A 17009-nucleotide genomic window follows, 5' to 3' on the forward strand; every position below is an offset into this window, starting at 1 on the left:
AGGCAGGAGAATTGCTTGAACCCAGGAGGCAGAGGTTGCAGTGAACCAAGACTGCACCACTGTACTCCAGCCTGGGCAAAAGAGCGAGACTCCATGTCAAAAAAAAATAAAATAAAGCATCCATAGAGGAAAAAATATCAACATCAAATGTGGCCCAATTATACTGGCTTCCTTATTTCTCAAATATGCCTGATACACATGTACCTCAGGGCCTTTGTACTTGCTATTCCCTTTGCTTGATATGTTCTTCCCCCAGATATCCCCCTTGGCTCACTCTCTCAACCTCCTTCAGCCCTTTGTGCAAATGTCACCCCCCCTTTTTTTTTTTGAGATAGAGTCTTGCTCTGTTGCCCAGGCTAAAAGTGCAGTGGCGTAATCACGGCTCACTGCAGCCTCAAACTCCTGGGCTCAAGTGATCCTCTCACCTCAGCCTCCTGAGCAGCTCTGACTACAGGCGTGCACCACCACAGCTAGCTAAGCAAATGTCATCTCTTTAATGGGATCTTCAGCCACTCTATCTAAAAGTGAGTGCCACTCCCTGGGGCACCCCTGCTTTATTTTCTCCTCAGCACTTATCACCGTCTGACATACTCTACGTTTCTTACTTGTCTTGTTAATTGTCTCCTCCCACCCAATTTCCACTTGAAAACAAGTTCCATAAGGTCAGATTTTTGACTGCAGTATTCACTGCTGAATCTCCAGGATCTACAAGAGCACCAGCATAAAGTAGGCACTCCACAAAATGTGCCTCAAATCACTACTGTGTCATGAATACCTAACGCATACAGATCAGCAGAGAACTCATAAGGCACCCACTGCAATCATCATCCAAATCCACACCAATCATATGGTGAGTACAATTATTAAAATGTGGCCTGCTGCACACTTTACAAAATGCATTCCAAGCACTGGCTAATATTAGTTTACTTTGCATTTATTATTTTCCACCTTATAAGTCTGCATTAACTGGGGAGTATAAATTAAGGACCCACGCCTGAACATTCATCTGAGACCTGCTGGTGTAGAAACATTTCATGTCAAACAAAACCCAAGTTCTTAATGTAACGACAACTAACCTTTTGGAAAATTCTCTCTTGTAGAAAATCAGGTGAGAAAAGACTAGTTAATGAAGAATAAACTTTCAAAATGTGGCTACAAGATTTCAATTCTATCACAGTTTAAAACAAATATATTAACCAGCATTCAAATATTCTGTGTTGATACTGAGGTCATATCCCAAAGACCCAAGGTTTTCAGGTTGCTAAATCGTCACTAAAAAATAATTATCTCGGCCAGGCACGGTGGCTCACGCCTGTAATCCCAGCACTTTGGGAGGCCCAGGCGGGTGGATCACGAGGTCAGGAGATCAAGACCAACCTGGCTAACACGGTGAAACCCCATCTCTACTAAAAATACAAAAAAAAAAAAAAAAAAATTAGCCAGGCATGGTGGCAGGGGCCTATAGTCCCAGCAACTCAGGAGGCTGAGGCAGGAGAATGGCGTGAACCCGGGAAGCAGAGCTTGCAGTGAGCCAAGATTGCACCACTGCACTCCAGCCTGGGACACAGAGCTAGACTCTGTCTCAAAAAACAAAACAAAACAAAACAAAAATATCTCTTGCTAACCATGGAGATGAGGAAATAAATATAAAAATATTTTTTAAAATAAAAACTATCAGCCAGGAGCAGTGGCTCATGCCTGTAATCCCAGCACTTTGGGAGGCAGAGGCGGGCAGATCACTTGAGGCCAGGAGTTCAAGACCAGCCTAGCCAACGTGGTGAAACCCGGTCTCTACTAAAAAATACAAAAATTAGCCAGGCATGGTGGCACATGCCTGTGATCCCAGCTACTTGGGAGGCTGAGGTAGGAGAATTGCTTGAACCCAGGAGGCAGAGGCTGCAGTGACCGGAGATTGCGCCACTGCACTCTAGCCTGGCAACAGAGTGAGACTCTATCTCAAAAAAGAAAAGAAAAGAAAAGAAAAAAACAAACAATAAAAAACTAAAAAGCATTTTTAGTAAAATAAAGCCAGGAAGGAAACAGTCAATGTCTGACTCTGAAAGGATGTCTTGTGGGGAACACCAAATTGACCTGTCTGGGTACATGGCATCAAACTACCATCAACCTCAGGAAAACTCCATAAAAATCAAGTCCACTGCTCCATAAAATCAGGACATCTATCATCCTTGATGATGAACACATTCGCCTCCACATCCAGCAATAGGAGATGAATGAAACAAAAATATTTTTTTCATTCAATTGTATGACGGACTATTAGGATAGCATGAAGAGCTTTCTTACCAATTTTATATTTTTTAACCAGGAGAAAATGCTTATGATACACTTTTTTTTTTTTTTGAGACAGGGTCTCCATTGTTAAGGCTGCAGTGCAGTGGCGTAATCTCAGCTCACCACAGCCTTGTCCACCCAGGCTCAAGTGATCCTCCCACCTCAGCTTCCCAAGTTGCTGGGACAGCTATAGGCACACGCCACCATATCTGGCTAATTTTTGTATTTCTGTGTAGAGACGGGGTTTTGCTATGTTGCTCAGGCTGGTCTTGAACTCTTGAGTTCAAGTGATCCTCCTGCCTTGGCCTCCCAAAGTGCTGGGATTAGAGGCGTGTGCCACCGCACCGGGCCGTTTATGATACACTTTTTTTTTTTCTCTGAGAGTCTTGCTCTGTTGCCCAGGCTAGAGTGCATGATCTCACCTCACGGCAACCTCTGCCTCCCAGGTTCAAGTGATTCTCATGCCTCAGCCTCCCGAGTAGCTGAGATTACAAGCACGCGCCACTGTGCCCGGCTAATTTTTCTAATTTTTTTTTTTGAGACGGAGTCTCACTCTGTCGCCCAGGCTGGAGTGCAGTGGCGCATTCTCAGCTCACTGCAAGCTCCGCCTCCCAGGTTCACGCCATTCTCCTGCCTCAGCCTCCCGAGTAGCTGGGTCTACAGGCGTCTGCCACCACACCCGGCTAATTTTTTGTATTTTTTTAGTAGAGATGCGGTTTCACCGTGTTAGCCAGGATGGTCTCAATCTCTTGACCTCGTGATCCGCTGCCTCAGCCTCCCAAAGTGCTGGGATTACAGGCGTGAATCACCCCACCCAGTAGAGACTGGGTTCAGTGTGTTGGTCAAGATGGTCTCAAACTACTGGCCTCAAGTGATCTGCCCGCGTCAGCCTCCCAAAGTGCTGGGATTACAGGCATGAGCCACTGCACCAGGCCTCACTTTTGATAAACTTTTAAGTTATAAGAAGGAAGATGGGGCCGGGCGCGGTGGCTCACATCTGTAATCCCAGCACTTTGGGAGGCCGAGGCGGGCGGATCACGAGGTCAAGAGATCGAGACCAGACTGGGCAAGCTGCACAGTGACAGCCAGTCTCTAAATAATTTTTTAATTAGTCAGGCATGGTGGGGAGACTGAGGTGGGAGGATCACTGGAGTGCAGGAGTTCCAGAATTCTGTGAGGTATGATCATGCCACTGCACTCCAGCCTGGATGACAGAGCAGGACACTGTCTATTAAAAAAAAAAAAAAGGCTATTCACAAGCCTTCTCTAAAAGAATTATTCAAGGATATACTACAGCTTGGCCAAGCGTGGTGGCTCACGCCTGTTATCCCAACATTTTGAGAGGCTGAGGTAGGTGGATCGATTGAGCCCAGGAGTTCGAGACCAGCCTAGGCAACATGGCAAAAACCCCTCTCTACCAAAAAATAAAAATAAAAAATAAAAAATAAAAAAAATAAAAAAATAAAAAATAATAAAATAAAATAAAATAAAAAAAAACAGAAGGACAGGCATAGTGGCTCACGCCTGTAATCCCAGCACTTTGGGAGGCCAAGGCAGGTGGATCACCTGAAGTCAGGAGTTTGAGACCACACTGCCCAACATGGTGAAACCCTGTCTCTACTAAAAATACAAAAAATTAGCCGTGCATGGTGGTGGGCGCCTATATTCCAAGCTACTCTGGAGGCTGAGGCAGGAGAATCACTTGAACCCGGGAGGCGGAGGTTGCAGTGAGCCGAGACTACGCCATTGCACTCCAGCCTGAGCTACAAGAGTGAAACTCCATCTCAAAAAAAAAGAGGCCAAGACAGTAGGATCACTTGAGGCCAAAAGTTCAAGACCAGCCTCGGCAACACAGCAAGACCCTATCTCTACAAAAAAATTAGCAAGTTGTGGTAGTGCACATCTGTAGCCCTAGCTACTCAGGAGGCTGAGGCAGGAGGATCTCTTGAGCCCAGGAGTCTGAGGCTGCAGTGATCTCTAATCATACCACTGAGCTTCAGCCTGCATGACTGAGTGAGATCCTATGTCAAACAACCAAATAAAGAAATAAAAGATAGGATCAATTACCCTTGAGGAGTGACTATGGCGACCCTTCTGTTCTCTCTACAGACAGTTGTAATATTGCTATTATAGAAAGAGGTGGTCAGGCCAGGTGCGGTGGCTCAGGCTTGTAAAAGTAGCACTTTGGGAGGCAGATCACTTAAGCTCAAGAGTTCAAGACCAGCCTGAGCAACATGGCAAAACCCCATCTCCACTAAAAATACAAAAACTAGCTGGGCGTAGTGGCACGGGCCCATAGTCCCAGCTACTTGGGGGGCTGAAGCAGGAGAATAGCTTGAACCTGGGAGGCTGAGGCTGCAGTGAACCTGGGTGACAAAATGAGACCCTGTCCCCAAAAAAATAAAAAAGAAAGAAAGCGGTGGTCAAAATGCTGCCCCAAAATGTAGGGAGGTAAGTACTATAGAACTTTCTTCTGCATTTTTAAATGTGTAACTTTTTGTGATTTTTTTCAATCTAAACAAACATTCACTTTCTTACCTAATTTTGTTATCATAATTGTACATTATTTTGTTTAAAGATGGCATTTATAATTACATGTATAATTACAAATTATGTATTTATGTTACATATATTTATATTATTTTATATAAGCTTCAGACACCACAAAACCTGCCCTATACTAGGTGGTAAGATCATGATTGCCCGCTTTTCAGTTTTCTGAATGTTTCAAACTTATAATATCCTCCAACTCTGAGCACACATTACCTTTATAACTGAGAGAGAAAATACTGGGGGAAGAGGAGGATTCAAGATTGAAACAGGAAAACACAGATGGCTGCCTGGCTCTTGATGGTTTTAAATCCACCTAGAAACAAACACTGATCCGGCCCACCCTTCGTACTCAGAGCTTCACTCCAAGTGAGAATAACAACCACAACACCACAACACGCACTGTCCTTAAGATGTATACAAGGTGCTAGAAGGTCAGAGCCCTCAATAGCATCTCATTCTGGTTTTATTTTATCTTTTGAGATGGAGTTTCGCTCTTGTTGCCCAGGCTGGAGTGCAATGGCCTGATCTCGGCTCACCACAACCTCTGCCTCCCAGGTTCAAGGGATTCTCCTGCCTCAGACTTCCAAGTAGCTGGGATTACAGGCATGCGCCACCACGCCCGGCTAATTTTTATATATTTTTTAGTAAAGACAGCGTTTTTCCATGTTGGACAGGCTGGTCTCAAACTCCCAGCCTCAGGTGATCCGCCCCCCTTGGCCTCCCAAAGTGCTGGGATTACAGGTGTGAGCCACTGCACCCAGGCTCATTCTGGTTTTAATGAAGAAACCACAGATTTTAACTGGAGTGATTACATGAAAGTCATACAATAATGTAGCTTCTTCCCCCAAAACAGCAGATTGTTCCAAAAATCTGGACAAATCTCAGGTTTTCCATAAGGGACACAGTAGCCTCTCAGCTGCTTCTCCTTTCTAGAACCACCAGCACAACTAGCTGCCCTATCTCTCTGCCTCGTCTGACCAGGTTTCTGGAATGACAGACTAGAGGGCTCCAAGGTAAAGGGAACAGGAAGAAGGAACTTTCAGTCTACCGAGAAATATGTGTATCACCAGCCTGGGCAAGATGGGGACACCCTGTCTCTACCAAATAAAAATTAAAAAAAAATAGCCAGGTGCAATGGCGCATACCTGTGGTCCCAGCTACTTGGGAGGCTGAGATGGAAGGGTCACTGGAGCCTGGGAGGTCAAGGCTGCAGTGAGCCGTGATCACATGACTGTACTCCAGCCTGGGTGACAGAGCGAGACCCTGTCTCAAAAAATAATAATAATAATACATAAATAAATAATAAAAAAGAAATATGTTTATCAGAATAACCTGCTAGAATTATAAAGAATTTAAGCAATTTTAAAAGCTTCTCGCTAAAACAATGATTGATTCTAAGGTCTCATATGTCCCCTTTATCAATATATCAAACTTTATTTTGAGATGGGGGCTCACTATGTTGCCCAGGCTGGCCTCAAACTCCTGGCCTCAAGTGATCCTTCCGCCTTAGTCTCTCCAAGTGCTAGGATTACAAGGCATGAGTCAACTGGCCAAATTTTCTTACAAATAGCTGAATGTATTCTATACACATACCAGGAATTTTCAGTTCTGTTGTAAAAGCCAGTTACCCCTTTTTCAAGAACAATTCTCAGTCTCCAGTCTCCCACCACATTGTAAGAAACTAACTCAACAGGAACACAGAGAAGCAACTCTCTCAGACTAAAGCCAAAATTGCTTACAGGTCTCAATCTATGAGGGATTTTTGCAATCCTTGAGTCATGGTTCTTTCATATGCCAATAAGTAATGGTTCCATAGGGCCCGTGTGGTGGCTCACACACGTGTAATCCTAGCACTTTGGAGGCCAAGGCAGGATGACTGTTTGAGCCCAGGAGTTTGAGAACAATCCTGGCAAAATAGTGAGACCTTGTCTCTACAAAAAATAACCAGCCAGGTGTGGTGGTACATGCCTGTTGTCCCAGCTACTCGGGAGGCAGAGGTGGAGGGATCACTTGAGGCTGCAAAGCTCAAGGTTATAGTGAGCAGAGATTGTACCACCATACTCCAGCCCGGTGACAGAGCGAGACACTGTCTCAAACAACCAAAAAAGTAACGGTCCATTAGCTTCAGACAAGATTATATGTTTCCTGCCAGTGGGCAATGTTTACCCCATTTAGCTCTTAGCTCACTGCCAAACCCAAATGACACATGAATTCATCCTCTGAAATAAGGGATGCCAACAGTGATTCAGTCCCAATGGGCAGCCACAGAGGCAGGGCATCCCGGACCTGCCCAGGCAAGCACCTGAGTGCTGCATTTGCTGGAGCAGGAACAAAAGTGTACCCTATGCAGCACTAGTTCCTGCGACCAAGGGAACTCTGACAATTTCCTCTGGGTCCTTTCAACATCTCGCTTAGACAAATACTCCTCGCAAGGGTCTGCAAACTACTCCAGGTTCGTGGCAGCAATCTGGCAGCTTGTATCACCCAACCCACTTGGCCTGAGTGCAGTCAGTGTTCTTCCAGACCAGCCCAGAAAAAAATGAGATACGATTCTGAGAAAAGTCTTAAGACTACACCAGTCAGGCTGGGCGCGGTGGCTCACGCCTGTAATCCCAGCACTTTGGGAGGCCAAGGCAGGCAGATCACGAGGTCAGGAGATCGAGACCATCCTGGCTAACATGGTGAAACCCCGTCTCTACTAAAAATAAAAAAATTAGCCGGGCGTGGTGGCAGGTGCCTGTAGTCTCAGCTACTGGGGAGGCTGAGGCAGGAGAATCACTTGAACCTAGGAGGCGGAGCTTGCAGTGAGCCGAGATCGCACCACTGCACTCCAGCCTGGGCAAGAGAGCGAGACTCCATCTCAAAAAAAAAAAATTAATTAATTAAAAAAAAAAGACTGCACCAGTCACAGCACTATGTCCTAATAAAGAGACACCTGCCAATTATGCTTCAGAAGTCCTGAGTTAGCTCTCCAAAATAAGATCCAGAAAAATATTTTAAAATTTTTGTTACAGAAATCAAGTTCAATTGCATTCACAGTTCCAAAGCAAAGGTCACACTGATCTCTTCAGAATCACCCAGTTTGTGAGGAAAGCAGTGGATTCAGTCAATCAAGATCGCACGCATTTGAGGCCAGGCACGGAGGCTCACACCTATAATCTCAGCAGTTTGGGAAGCTGAGGCGGGAGGATTGCTAGAGCTCAGAAGTTTGAGACCAGCCTGGGCAACACAGTGAGACCCTGTCTTCACAAAAAATGTTTTAAAAATTAGCCAGGCTTGGTGGCATGCGCCTGTAGTCCTAGCTACTCAGAAGGCTGAGGCAGGAGGATCACTTTAGCCCAGAAGGTTGAGGTTACTGTGAGCTATGAGATTGTGCCACTGCACTCTAGCCTGGGTGACAGAGTGAGACCCTGTCTCTAAAAAAAGTAAAAATAAGATTGCATTTCAGGACCAGCAGTGAAGGTCAACAAGGTACTTCCAGTTTTAACATCTTACTCTTCTCTCGCTCATTACAAGGAGCTTAAGTTATTTTCCAAAGTAAAAACGGTCTTTGAGCGTGAGATAAATCATCCTAGGGGTCCTGTCCCTTACCTTTCCCAGGCCTCACCTGCCCCAGTCCTGCTGTTCATGTTCATTAGTTTAGTTTTTTTTTTGAGACGGAGTCTCACTCTGTCGCCCAGGCTGGAGTGCAGTGGCGGGATCTCGGCTCACTGCAAGCTCTGCCTCCCGGGTTCACGCCATTCTCTTGCCTCAGCCTTCCGAGCAGCTGGGACTACAGGTGGCCACCACCACGCCCGGCTAATTTTTTGTATTTTTAGTAGAGACAGGGTTTCACCGTGTTAGCCAGGATGGTCTCGATCTCCTGACCTCGTGATCCATCCGCCTCGGCCGCCCAAAGTGCTGGGATTACAGGCGTGAGCCACCGCATCTGGCCTTGTTTTTGTTTTTTTAACACAGGGTCTCACTCACGTCTCCCAGGCTGAAGCGCAGTTGGTGTAATCACAGCTCACTGCAGCCTTGCCTTCCTGGGTTCAAGTAATTCTCCCATCTCAGCCTCCCAAGTAGCTGGGACTACAGGCACATGCCACCATGTCGAGCTAATTTTTTGTTATTTTTAGTAGAGACAAGGTTTCGCCACGTTGCCCAGGCTGGTGTCGAACTCCTGGGATTAAATGATCCGCCTACCTCAGCCTCCTGAAGTGCCAGGATTACGGGCATGAACCACTGAACCAGGCCACACATCTATTAGTTTTTAAGCCCCAGAATCTAAACCTGTCAGCTGCCAACTGGCACCCCTGTAAATTCTACCCTCCCAAATCCCCCAGGACCTTGTATCCTGGATTTACAGTCCTCCTCTGGCCTTCCCAGTGTAAATGCAGCATTCTGACTAACCCATAAAGTCTTCAACATGAGACCCTGGAAGTTGCTGTGTTAGTTCCAAAGGCCCAGCAGAGAATCTACGAAGGGCAGAGGCAGCCCAAAGACCTGAGGAAGAGACAGACACTTTTATCCTCATGCTCAGATACAAACACAAAGCAAGAAAAACCCAAGCCCTTCAGTAGTGGGTTTGTAATCAACTGGGCTCTCTCTCCTTTAGAGGCACTTGCCTGGAAGAACAGATACTGTTCAAGGAATGACACCTTTTACTGCCTTACAGGTAAAACTTCCATTCATAATAGATGAAAAATTGAAAATGTTTAATAAGAATTAACTAATTTAGGAAGATCATAATCTCAGCAACGTGCAAAAAGATGGTTTAACAAGTTATTTGTTATTGTTTTTCTTGTCAGGTTGTTCAAGCTCATAAAAACATACATTCCTCGGTCAAGTATACTACAATCAGCCCTCCTCTTTCTTCCTTGAGTAACTAGGCAAGTTCTCAAGAAATATGATGACTCTTCAGCACCAGAGCCAAGCATATAACTCCACAGGGCACCCCATAAAAGCACGCAAACTGAACTTACCACCACCCCCTGCTGATGAGGAGGAAGGAACCATGGCACAGTCCACAGACACCAAGTTTAAAGCACATCTAAACAAATGGGCATCAGAGTGAAAGTGGGCAGGCTTGGAGTTAGGTTAATCCCCAAACAAATGTGGCTGCAGCCTCAGCAATACCATGTAGAAAAGGGATCTTTGCCAAATGCAGTGGCTCACACCTGTAATCCTGGCGCTTGTGGATGCTGAAGCAGGAGGATTGCTTAATGCCAGGAGTTCAAGACCAGCCTGGGTAAAAAAAAGCGAGACCCTGTCTCTACAAAAAAAAAATTTTTTTTTTTTTTTTTTGAGACAGAGTCTTGCTCTGTCTCCCAGGCTAGAGTGCAGTGGCGCGATCTCGGCTCACTGCAAGCTCCGCTTCCCAGGTTCACACCATTCTCCTGCCTCAGCCTCCCGAGTAGCTGGGACTACAGGCACCCACCACCACACCCGGCTAATTTTTTGTATTTTTTTTTAGTAGAGACAGGGTTTCACCGTGTTAGCCAGGATGGTCTCAATCTCCTGACCTCATGATCCGCCTGCCTTCACCTCCCAAAGTGCTGGGATTACAGGCATGAGCCACCATGCCCGGCCTACAATAAAATTTTTAAAATGAGCTGCGCCCAGTGACATGTGCCTGTAGCCCCAACTGCTTGGGAGCCTGAGGCAAGAGGATCACTTATGGCCCCAAGAGGTTGAGGCCATAGCGAGCTATGATCGCTGCACTGCCTTCCAGCCTGGGCAACTGAGTGAGACTGTCTTTATTTAAAATTTGTATGTGCAGGCCGGGCGCAGTGGCTCACACCTGTAATCCCAGCACTTTGGAAGGCCAGAGTGGGCGGATCACTTGAGGTCAGGAGTTCGAGACCAGCCTGGACAACATGGTGAAAACCCATCACTACAAAAATACAATTACCCAGGCGTGGTGGCAGATGCCTGTAGGCCCAGCTACTTAGGAGGCTGAGGCAAGACAATCGCTTAAACCCAGGAGGCAGAGGTTGCAATGAGCCGAGATCGCGCCACTGCACTCCAACCTGGGCAACAGAGTGAGACTCCGTCTCCAAAAACAACAATAATAATAATAAATATATAAATCTAAGACACTAGGGCACATAAAAATCTGAATGGGCAGGTGAGTAGTTATACCAAAAAGCCATATCCAATGTTAGTTTCATACTTGCAAAGCAAAAATAACCTACTATTCTTATAAAACAAATACTGAAGGGGGATGCGAGATTTTTGCAATCCCCATGAAAGCTGAGACAAGCTCACACGGCCCATGGGGCATCTCATTTGAGTGTGCAGCTTCAGTTACGAAGGCCTGTTGGCCCCGAAGCAGCCCCAACTAAAAGAGCAAGACAAGGTTCAAGGCAAGGAGCCATAACAGGTGGGCTCTTCTAACAGGTAGGGTTTTAAGGTAGAGTAATATGGCCTGGGGAACTTGGGCCACAGCACCCCAGGGCCAGAGCAGGCAACGTGGCAGCCTTCCACAAACCCAGACTTAGGAGATCTAGCCCAGGTTCCAACTGGGCACATTCTCACAAACTAAGTGCAAAAGCAACACTAGAGCCAGATGTCTGCTTCTTGGTAACTAACATGTTTTATTCCATTAAAAGAAGTTTTACTCTTCCTTAGGTTTGGGATTAGACACTCAATTTCGAAAACACATAGGAGTGTCTCAAGTAAGATAGGTGGATACATAGAGAAAGCAAACAACATTAATTAGCCGGGCGTGGTGCCACGCGCCTGTAATCCCAGCTACTCGGGAGGCTGAGGTTGCAGTGAGCCGAGATCACACCACTGCACTCCAGCCTGGGTGACAGAGTGACATTTTTTCAAAAAAAAAAAAAAAATAGTAATACAAAAAAGAAAGAAAAAGGCCAGGTGCGGTGCAGTGGCTCACGCCTGTAATCCCAACACTTTGGGAGGCCGAGGTGGGTGGATCACCTAAGGTCAGGAGTTCGAGGCCAGCCTGGCCAACATGGTGAAACCCCGTCTCTACTAAAAATACAAAAATTAGCCAGGTGCGGTGGCACATGCCTGTAGTCCCAGCTACTAGGGAGGCTGAGGCAGGAGAATCGGTTGAACCTGAGAGGCGAAGGTTGTAGTGAGCTGAGATCTGGCCACTGCACTCCAGCCTGGGTGACAGAGCGAGACTCCGTCTCATTAAAAACAAAACAAAACAAAACAAAAAACCCCTGAATCTTAAAGGGAGCATATCCCAGAAATTTGTTTAGTTTTGTTTTTTTGAGACAGAGGATCCTGCCACCACACCCAGCTAATTTTTGTATTTTTAGTAGAGACAGGGTTTCACCATGTTGGCCAGACTGGTCTCAAACTCCTGACCTCAAGTGATCTGCCCACCTCGGCCTCCCGAAGCGTTGGTGTTACTGGCGTGAGCCACCACGCTCGGCCCTTTCTTTTTCCTTTTTTTTGTGTGTGTGTGTGTGTGTTTTTTTGAGATGGAGTCTCACTCTGTCGCCCAGGCGGGAGTGCAGTGGTGTGATTTTGGCTCACTGCAATCTCCACCCCCTGGGTTCAAACGATTCTCTTGCTTCAGCCTCCTGAGTAGCTGGGATTCCAGGCACCTGCCACAGAGGCTGGCTAGTTTTTGTATTTTTAGTAGAGACGGGGTTTCACCAGGTTGGCCAGGCTGGTCTTGAACTCCTGACCTCATGATCCAACCGCCTTGGCCTCCCAAAGTGCTGGGATTACATGCATGAGCCACCAAGCCTGGCCCTGGCCCTTTCTTTCTTTAAAAGGTAGGGCAGGCCAGGCGCGGAGGCTGAGGCAGGCTGAGGCAGGAGAATGGCGTGAACCCGGAAGGCGGAGCTTGCAGTGAGCCGAGATCGCACCACTGCACTTCAGCCTGGGCGACAGAGAGAGACTCCGTCTCAAAAAAAAAAAAAAAAAAAAAGTAGGGCAGTGATGGGGATAGGCACAGTGTAGATGAAACAAGATTGGCCAGGAATTAGTAACTACTGAAGCTGGTTATGGATGACAGACCCAAATCAACTGTGCATCATCTCGGCAAATTGACTTCTCCAAATCCTGAAGTGGGCTCTAAACTCAATTTTTGGAGAGAAGGACATTTCCTTGCCACCAGAATATACTGTAAAACACAACTACTTCTTATTACTTTTATTATATGGTACACAAATAGGCAAAAACATAATTTAAAAAAACAAAAACATGCTTTAAAATGTAATAACATGAGAATAATCATCTGCTTACTTTCTAATGTATAAGAGTGTGTTCAATTTGTTACCCAAGATTATCCCACTAGGTGAAATAACTTCACTTAAAGGGAAAATTCTTCCCCAGTGCATCCTCTTTATGAGCCAAACAATGGAAAATTTTCACCTCAGTAAGCTGGCCTCAGGGAGGTTCAGGCTCATCCCTGTTGCCTAGATACCAGTGACATCTCAGGAGCTTACAGAAGGCTCTGGCATCCCTCTTGGAAGGGAGACTGGCAAAGGTTCATCAGTCAGTGGTTGCTCCTTCTTTCCTGGCACATTCCACTGCTCAGACAGATACAGGGCTAGCATACAGTGTACCTGTCTGTCACCTAGGAAGCTTTGAAACACAAAAGAAATCTATTATATCTGTTACACTGATTTCTAGATCTCCCAGGTCCCTGCCTTGCTCCCTCCCTACCCAGGCCCTGCATAAAAAACAAACCAAACAAACAAAAAGCTAGTTTCTACAATTGTATTAACTCTAGTCAGTGTTCTTATCCATTTCATTTCTTTCTCTCTCTCTCTTTTTTTTTTTTTTTTTGTAGAGACAGGGTGTTGCTATGTTGCCCAGGTTGATCTTGAACTGCTGGGCTCAAGTGATTCTCCATTTGATTTCTAACAATGCCTGTGAATTCTAAAGTCACAAAGCAGGTAAATCTATCGAAATGACAATGTCAGACAAGACCACAGAAAATAGAAAAAAAATTTTAAATGACAGTTAACAGTTTAACTTTTTCTCAAAAAAAAAAAAAGTTACTAGGCCATCAATTTGCCTATTATGTCAAATGTGATAAAGTATTCATTTGGCCCTTTCTAACTCTGATAGTGGCTAAAGTTAAAACAACACCCTGAAGCTTCTCTTTAAATACTTAACACCCAAGTTACACGATGCAATTATACAAACCCCACAGCAACAACCTATATAAATAAGCATCTTAGTTCACTTAAAATATTACCTGGCTACAACTGCAAATACAGCAAACATTTTAAACACTAGAATTCAACAAAATTACTGTAATCATGGTCCTCTATTAAAAATATCATAGAACCGATGATCTACAACATTTTTGTTACCACGTTCCAAAGTGCCAGTACTTTTTCTTAAAACTATTCAAGATGATTTTTTGTTCTGTGTACATTCTGCTACGGAAATGTTTAATTCCAAGCAGTGACTAGTTCTGTTTTCCCTGGTATTTAAGAGCACTGGATTTTACTGGTTTCTACATTTTATTTTCACTCACTTTTCTGCTAGTGTAGCTTAGTTGATATATGAGAACGAATACAATCCTAAAATGAAATAAGCCATTAGGATGCAAAAGACAAAAGCGGTCTGTAATCAAACGTAAAGAGTGGAAATATCACTATAAAGGTGTCCTCTTATCCATTTAAAGGCATTTTTTCTATAATAAGGTTAAGTGTGTAGATTCCCTCATCGAACACCATCTGACGGGCCCAAATGGCATTCAACACTCAAAATGGCTGCACATCTGCCGACCCCAGGTAACAGTACCTGAGGCGCTGAGCTGACTCCCTATCCAAAGATCCGGGAAGACCCCTCCACCCGCCAAATATCTGGGGAGATCGTGGCCGCCAATGACCTGGGGAGACCCCTCAATGACACCGTAGATCTTGCGCTTCCCAAGACCCGGGGAGATCTCAATGACCAGGAAAGATCCTGCCCTCCCCCAAACCCGGGAGACCCCCTCCAATGACCGGGGAGGATGCTGGACCCCCAAAACCACGGAAATCCCTCCCCCAATGATCAGAAGAAAAACCCTCCTCCCAAATGACCCAGGGAAATCGAATCCACAGGGACCCCGGGAGATTTCCCCCACAATGACCACGGAAGAAGTCTTTCCCAAATAACCTGGGAGACTCCAATGATCAGAGATCCCGTTTCCCAGTAGCCTGAAAAAATCTCCCTCAAAGCTCCTCGGGCACTAGGGCCATAGGACGCGAGCTTTACCTGCCGCCTCAGCCGGGTTCCTCGGCGTTTCCGTCCTATTGTTTCTCTCGCACCAAAATGGCTGCGGCCAGGCCGAGCCCCGCCCCCTGCACCTCGCTCCCGGTGCCCCTCACTATTGGCTCGTCCTAGGAGCTGCGCACGCGGACTGGACAGCCTGAAAGGCGCTGTTGCTAGGGTGCCAGGATTCGCTGCAGCAGCTTCCGGAAAAGGCGGTGACTGGGGGCGGGGCCAGAGAGGGCGGAGCATTGTCCTCCGTCTGGGAGGGTGGGCCGGAGGTCTGACGGGCGGTTGGGTGGATAGACTAGCTGCGGGCCGATGGACAGCAGGATACCTGGGAAACAGATGGATTGACCAACAGTCTTGGTTTGTTCAGTAGTGAGCGATTTCGCAGGATGCAGGAATTTCAATGCTAACACAGAGACAGTCCACTACAAACTGGGAAGTTGGTCACTCTAGCAGATGGACAGAAGACTGGATGTGAATAGACGGAAAGAGGGACAAAAGAGTGCCTGTAGACGGTGGACAAAGAAATGGTTATAGATACAGACAGACAGATTATTAGATATGGAAGGGTGGACAGAGAAGTGGCCATAGAGTTTTCTGGGGACTGGTGGATGACCCAGTGCCCAACCCAGCTCCCACCAAGCACCACACCACAGGGCTTGTCTGAGGCTCATTTGTCTTGGGCCTGTGTTGGACAGAAGGGCTCTCACCTGAGTGAATGTCAGCATAGCTGTGAAAGGCAAAGGAGAGGGTTAGTGCCACTGAGAATGGGCAGAGCCTCCTACCTGATCTCTGCTCTTTCTGTAAAGGAGAACAATGTTGCAGCCCTGTGTACTGGGCATTTGCAAAGGTGTAAATTCACTCATACACTTTTTAATTCAACAAGTATTTATTAAGCACTTACACTCGGTATTGGAAATACAGCAGTGAACAAAAAAGGAAAATAAATAAATATCCCTGACCTTATAACAGTGGATAGGAGAGACTTCTGTGAGCAGCTCCTCTCACCTTAGCATGTGGTTTCCAGGGCTCCATGTCCTCCTGGTTTCCTCCAGTCTCACCAGTTTCTCATCTGTGTGTTTTCTCTTTGTCTACACTCACTCTTCCAAAATCTTATCCAGGCTCATGACTTCAAATGCCACCTACATGTCAATCACTCCTAAAAGTGTTTGTCCAGTCCAGACCCTTCCTGAGTGGCAGATTCACTAGTCCCACTGTCAACTAGACATCTGCACTCTGACTTCCAGTTGCTGGCATCTCAAACGCAACTTGTGCTACCCTAACACTGGCTCATCCGCCAAACCTACTTCACCCCACTTTCCCCAAATTGAGTGATAGCATCTCAGCCCTTCTTATTGCTCAAGTCAAACACCTCAAAGTACCCCTTGACTACTCTCTTTCCCATCTATATTCAGTGCACCAGGAAGGTCTGCTGTCTCCATCAGCATCATCTACCCAGAATGAAATCACTTCTTGCCACCTCCATACCTTTCACTGAGTCCAAACTGCCACCATTTCTCTTGAGTGCAATGTCACAGCTGCCTCCTGGTCTCCTCTTGCTGCCCCTGATGCCTTCAGTCTGTTCTGCACACATCAGCCTGTGAATACATGAGTCAGATCCTCCCATTCCCTGCTCAGAACCCTGGAGTACTTCCTCCCCAAGGGAAAACCAGAGACATCAGGACCTTCATAATTCCCTATCACCCCCCCGACTGTATCTCCCCGGCCAGCTTTTGGCCTTGCTGCTCAATCTCCCAGTGTTCCTCACACATCACACCCCATGCACTCTCCTGCACAGTGTATGAGTTATGGTTGTTCCCATGCCTGGATTGCACAGATTTCCAAAGAGCTGCACCCCAGCTCTCAGAGCCCCTCATTTCAGACTGTAACCTGCCCCACTCTGCCCCCAGCACTCAGTACCACCTTTATCCCCTCATCCTGGCTCTATATGTTTCCATAGCAGTTACCACCTTCTCAGAATT

At 46.3% G+C, this 17009-nt stretch overlaps 1 protein-coding gene across 25 annotated transcripts in view, besides 1 other annotated feature; it reads right to left on the bottom strand.

Annotated features, from left to right (window-relative positions):
• The window catches only part of IP6K2 (inositol hexakisphosphate kinase 2), a 29219-nt gene extending 14130 nt beyond the window's left edge, over positions 1-15089 (bottom strand). For 8 of the 25 annotated variants that reach the window (NR_027438.3, NR_027437.3, NM_001005909.3 and 5 more), the window contains exon 1: positions 15025-15089. Coding sequence is in view for 15 of the 25 variants with exons in the window: in XM_006713200.2 (XP_006713263.1) it covers positions 13257-13303 (47 nt within the window). In the remaining 10 variants the exon portion in view is untranslated. Of the gene's footprint in view, positions 1-9234; positions 9328-13182; positions 13396-14299 lie in introns of all 25 variants that reach the window. The other 17 variants (XM_006713200.2, XM_006713199.5, XM_017006591.2 and 14 more) reach the window with 5 other exon arrangements.
• Positions 10568-11067: an enhancer, noted in NCBI's record as "H3K4me1 hESC enhancer chr3:48750133-48750632 (GRCh37/hg19 assembly coordinates)". NCBI's record gives its function as "activates a minimal SCP1, AML or CMV promoter by ChIP-STARR-seq in primed H9 embryonic stem cells {active_cell/tissue: H9 hESC(primed)}" and the evidence as "EXISTENCE:reporter gene assay evidence [ECO:0000049][PMID:30033119]".
• Positions 15090-17009: the final 1920 nt, after the last annotated feature.

The sequence above is a fragment of the Homo sapiens genome, chromosome 3, assembly GCF_000001405.40.
Source record: "Homo sapiens chromosome 3, GRCh38.p14 Primary Assembly".
NCBI classification, from domain to species: domain Eukaryota; kingdom Metazoa; phylum Chordata; class Mammalia; order Primates; family Hominidae; genus Homo; species Homo sapiens.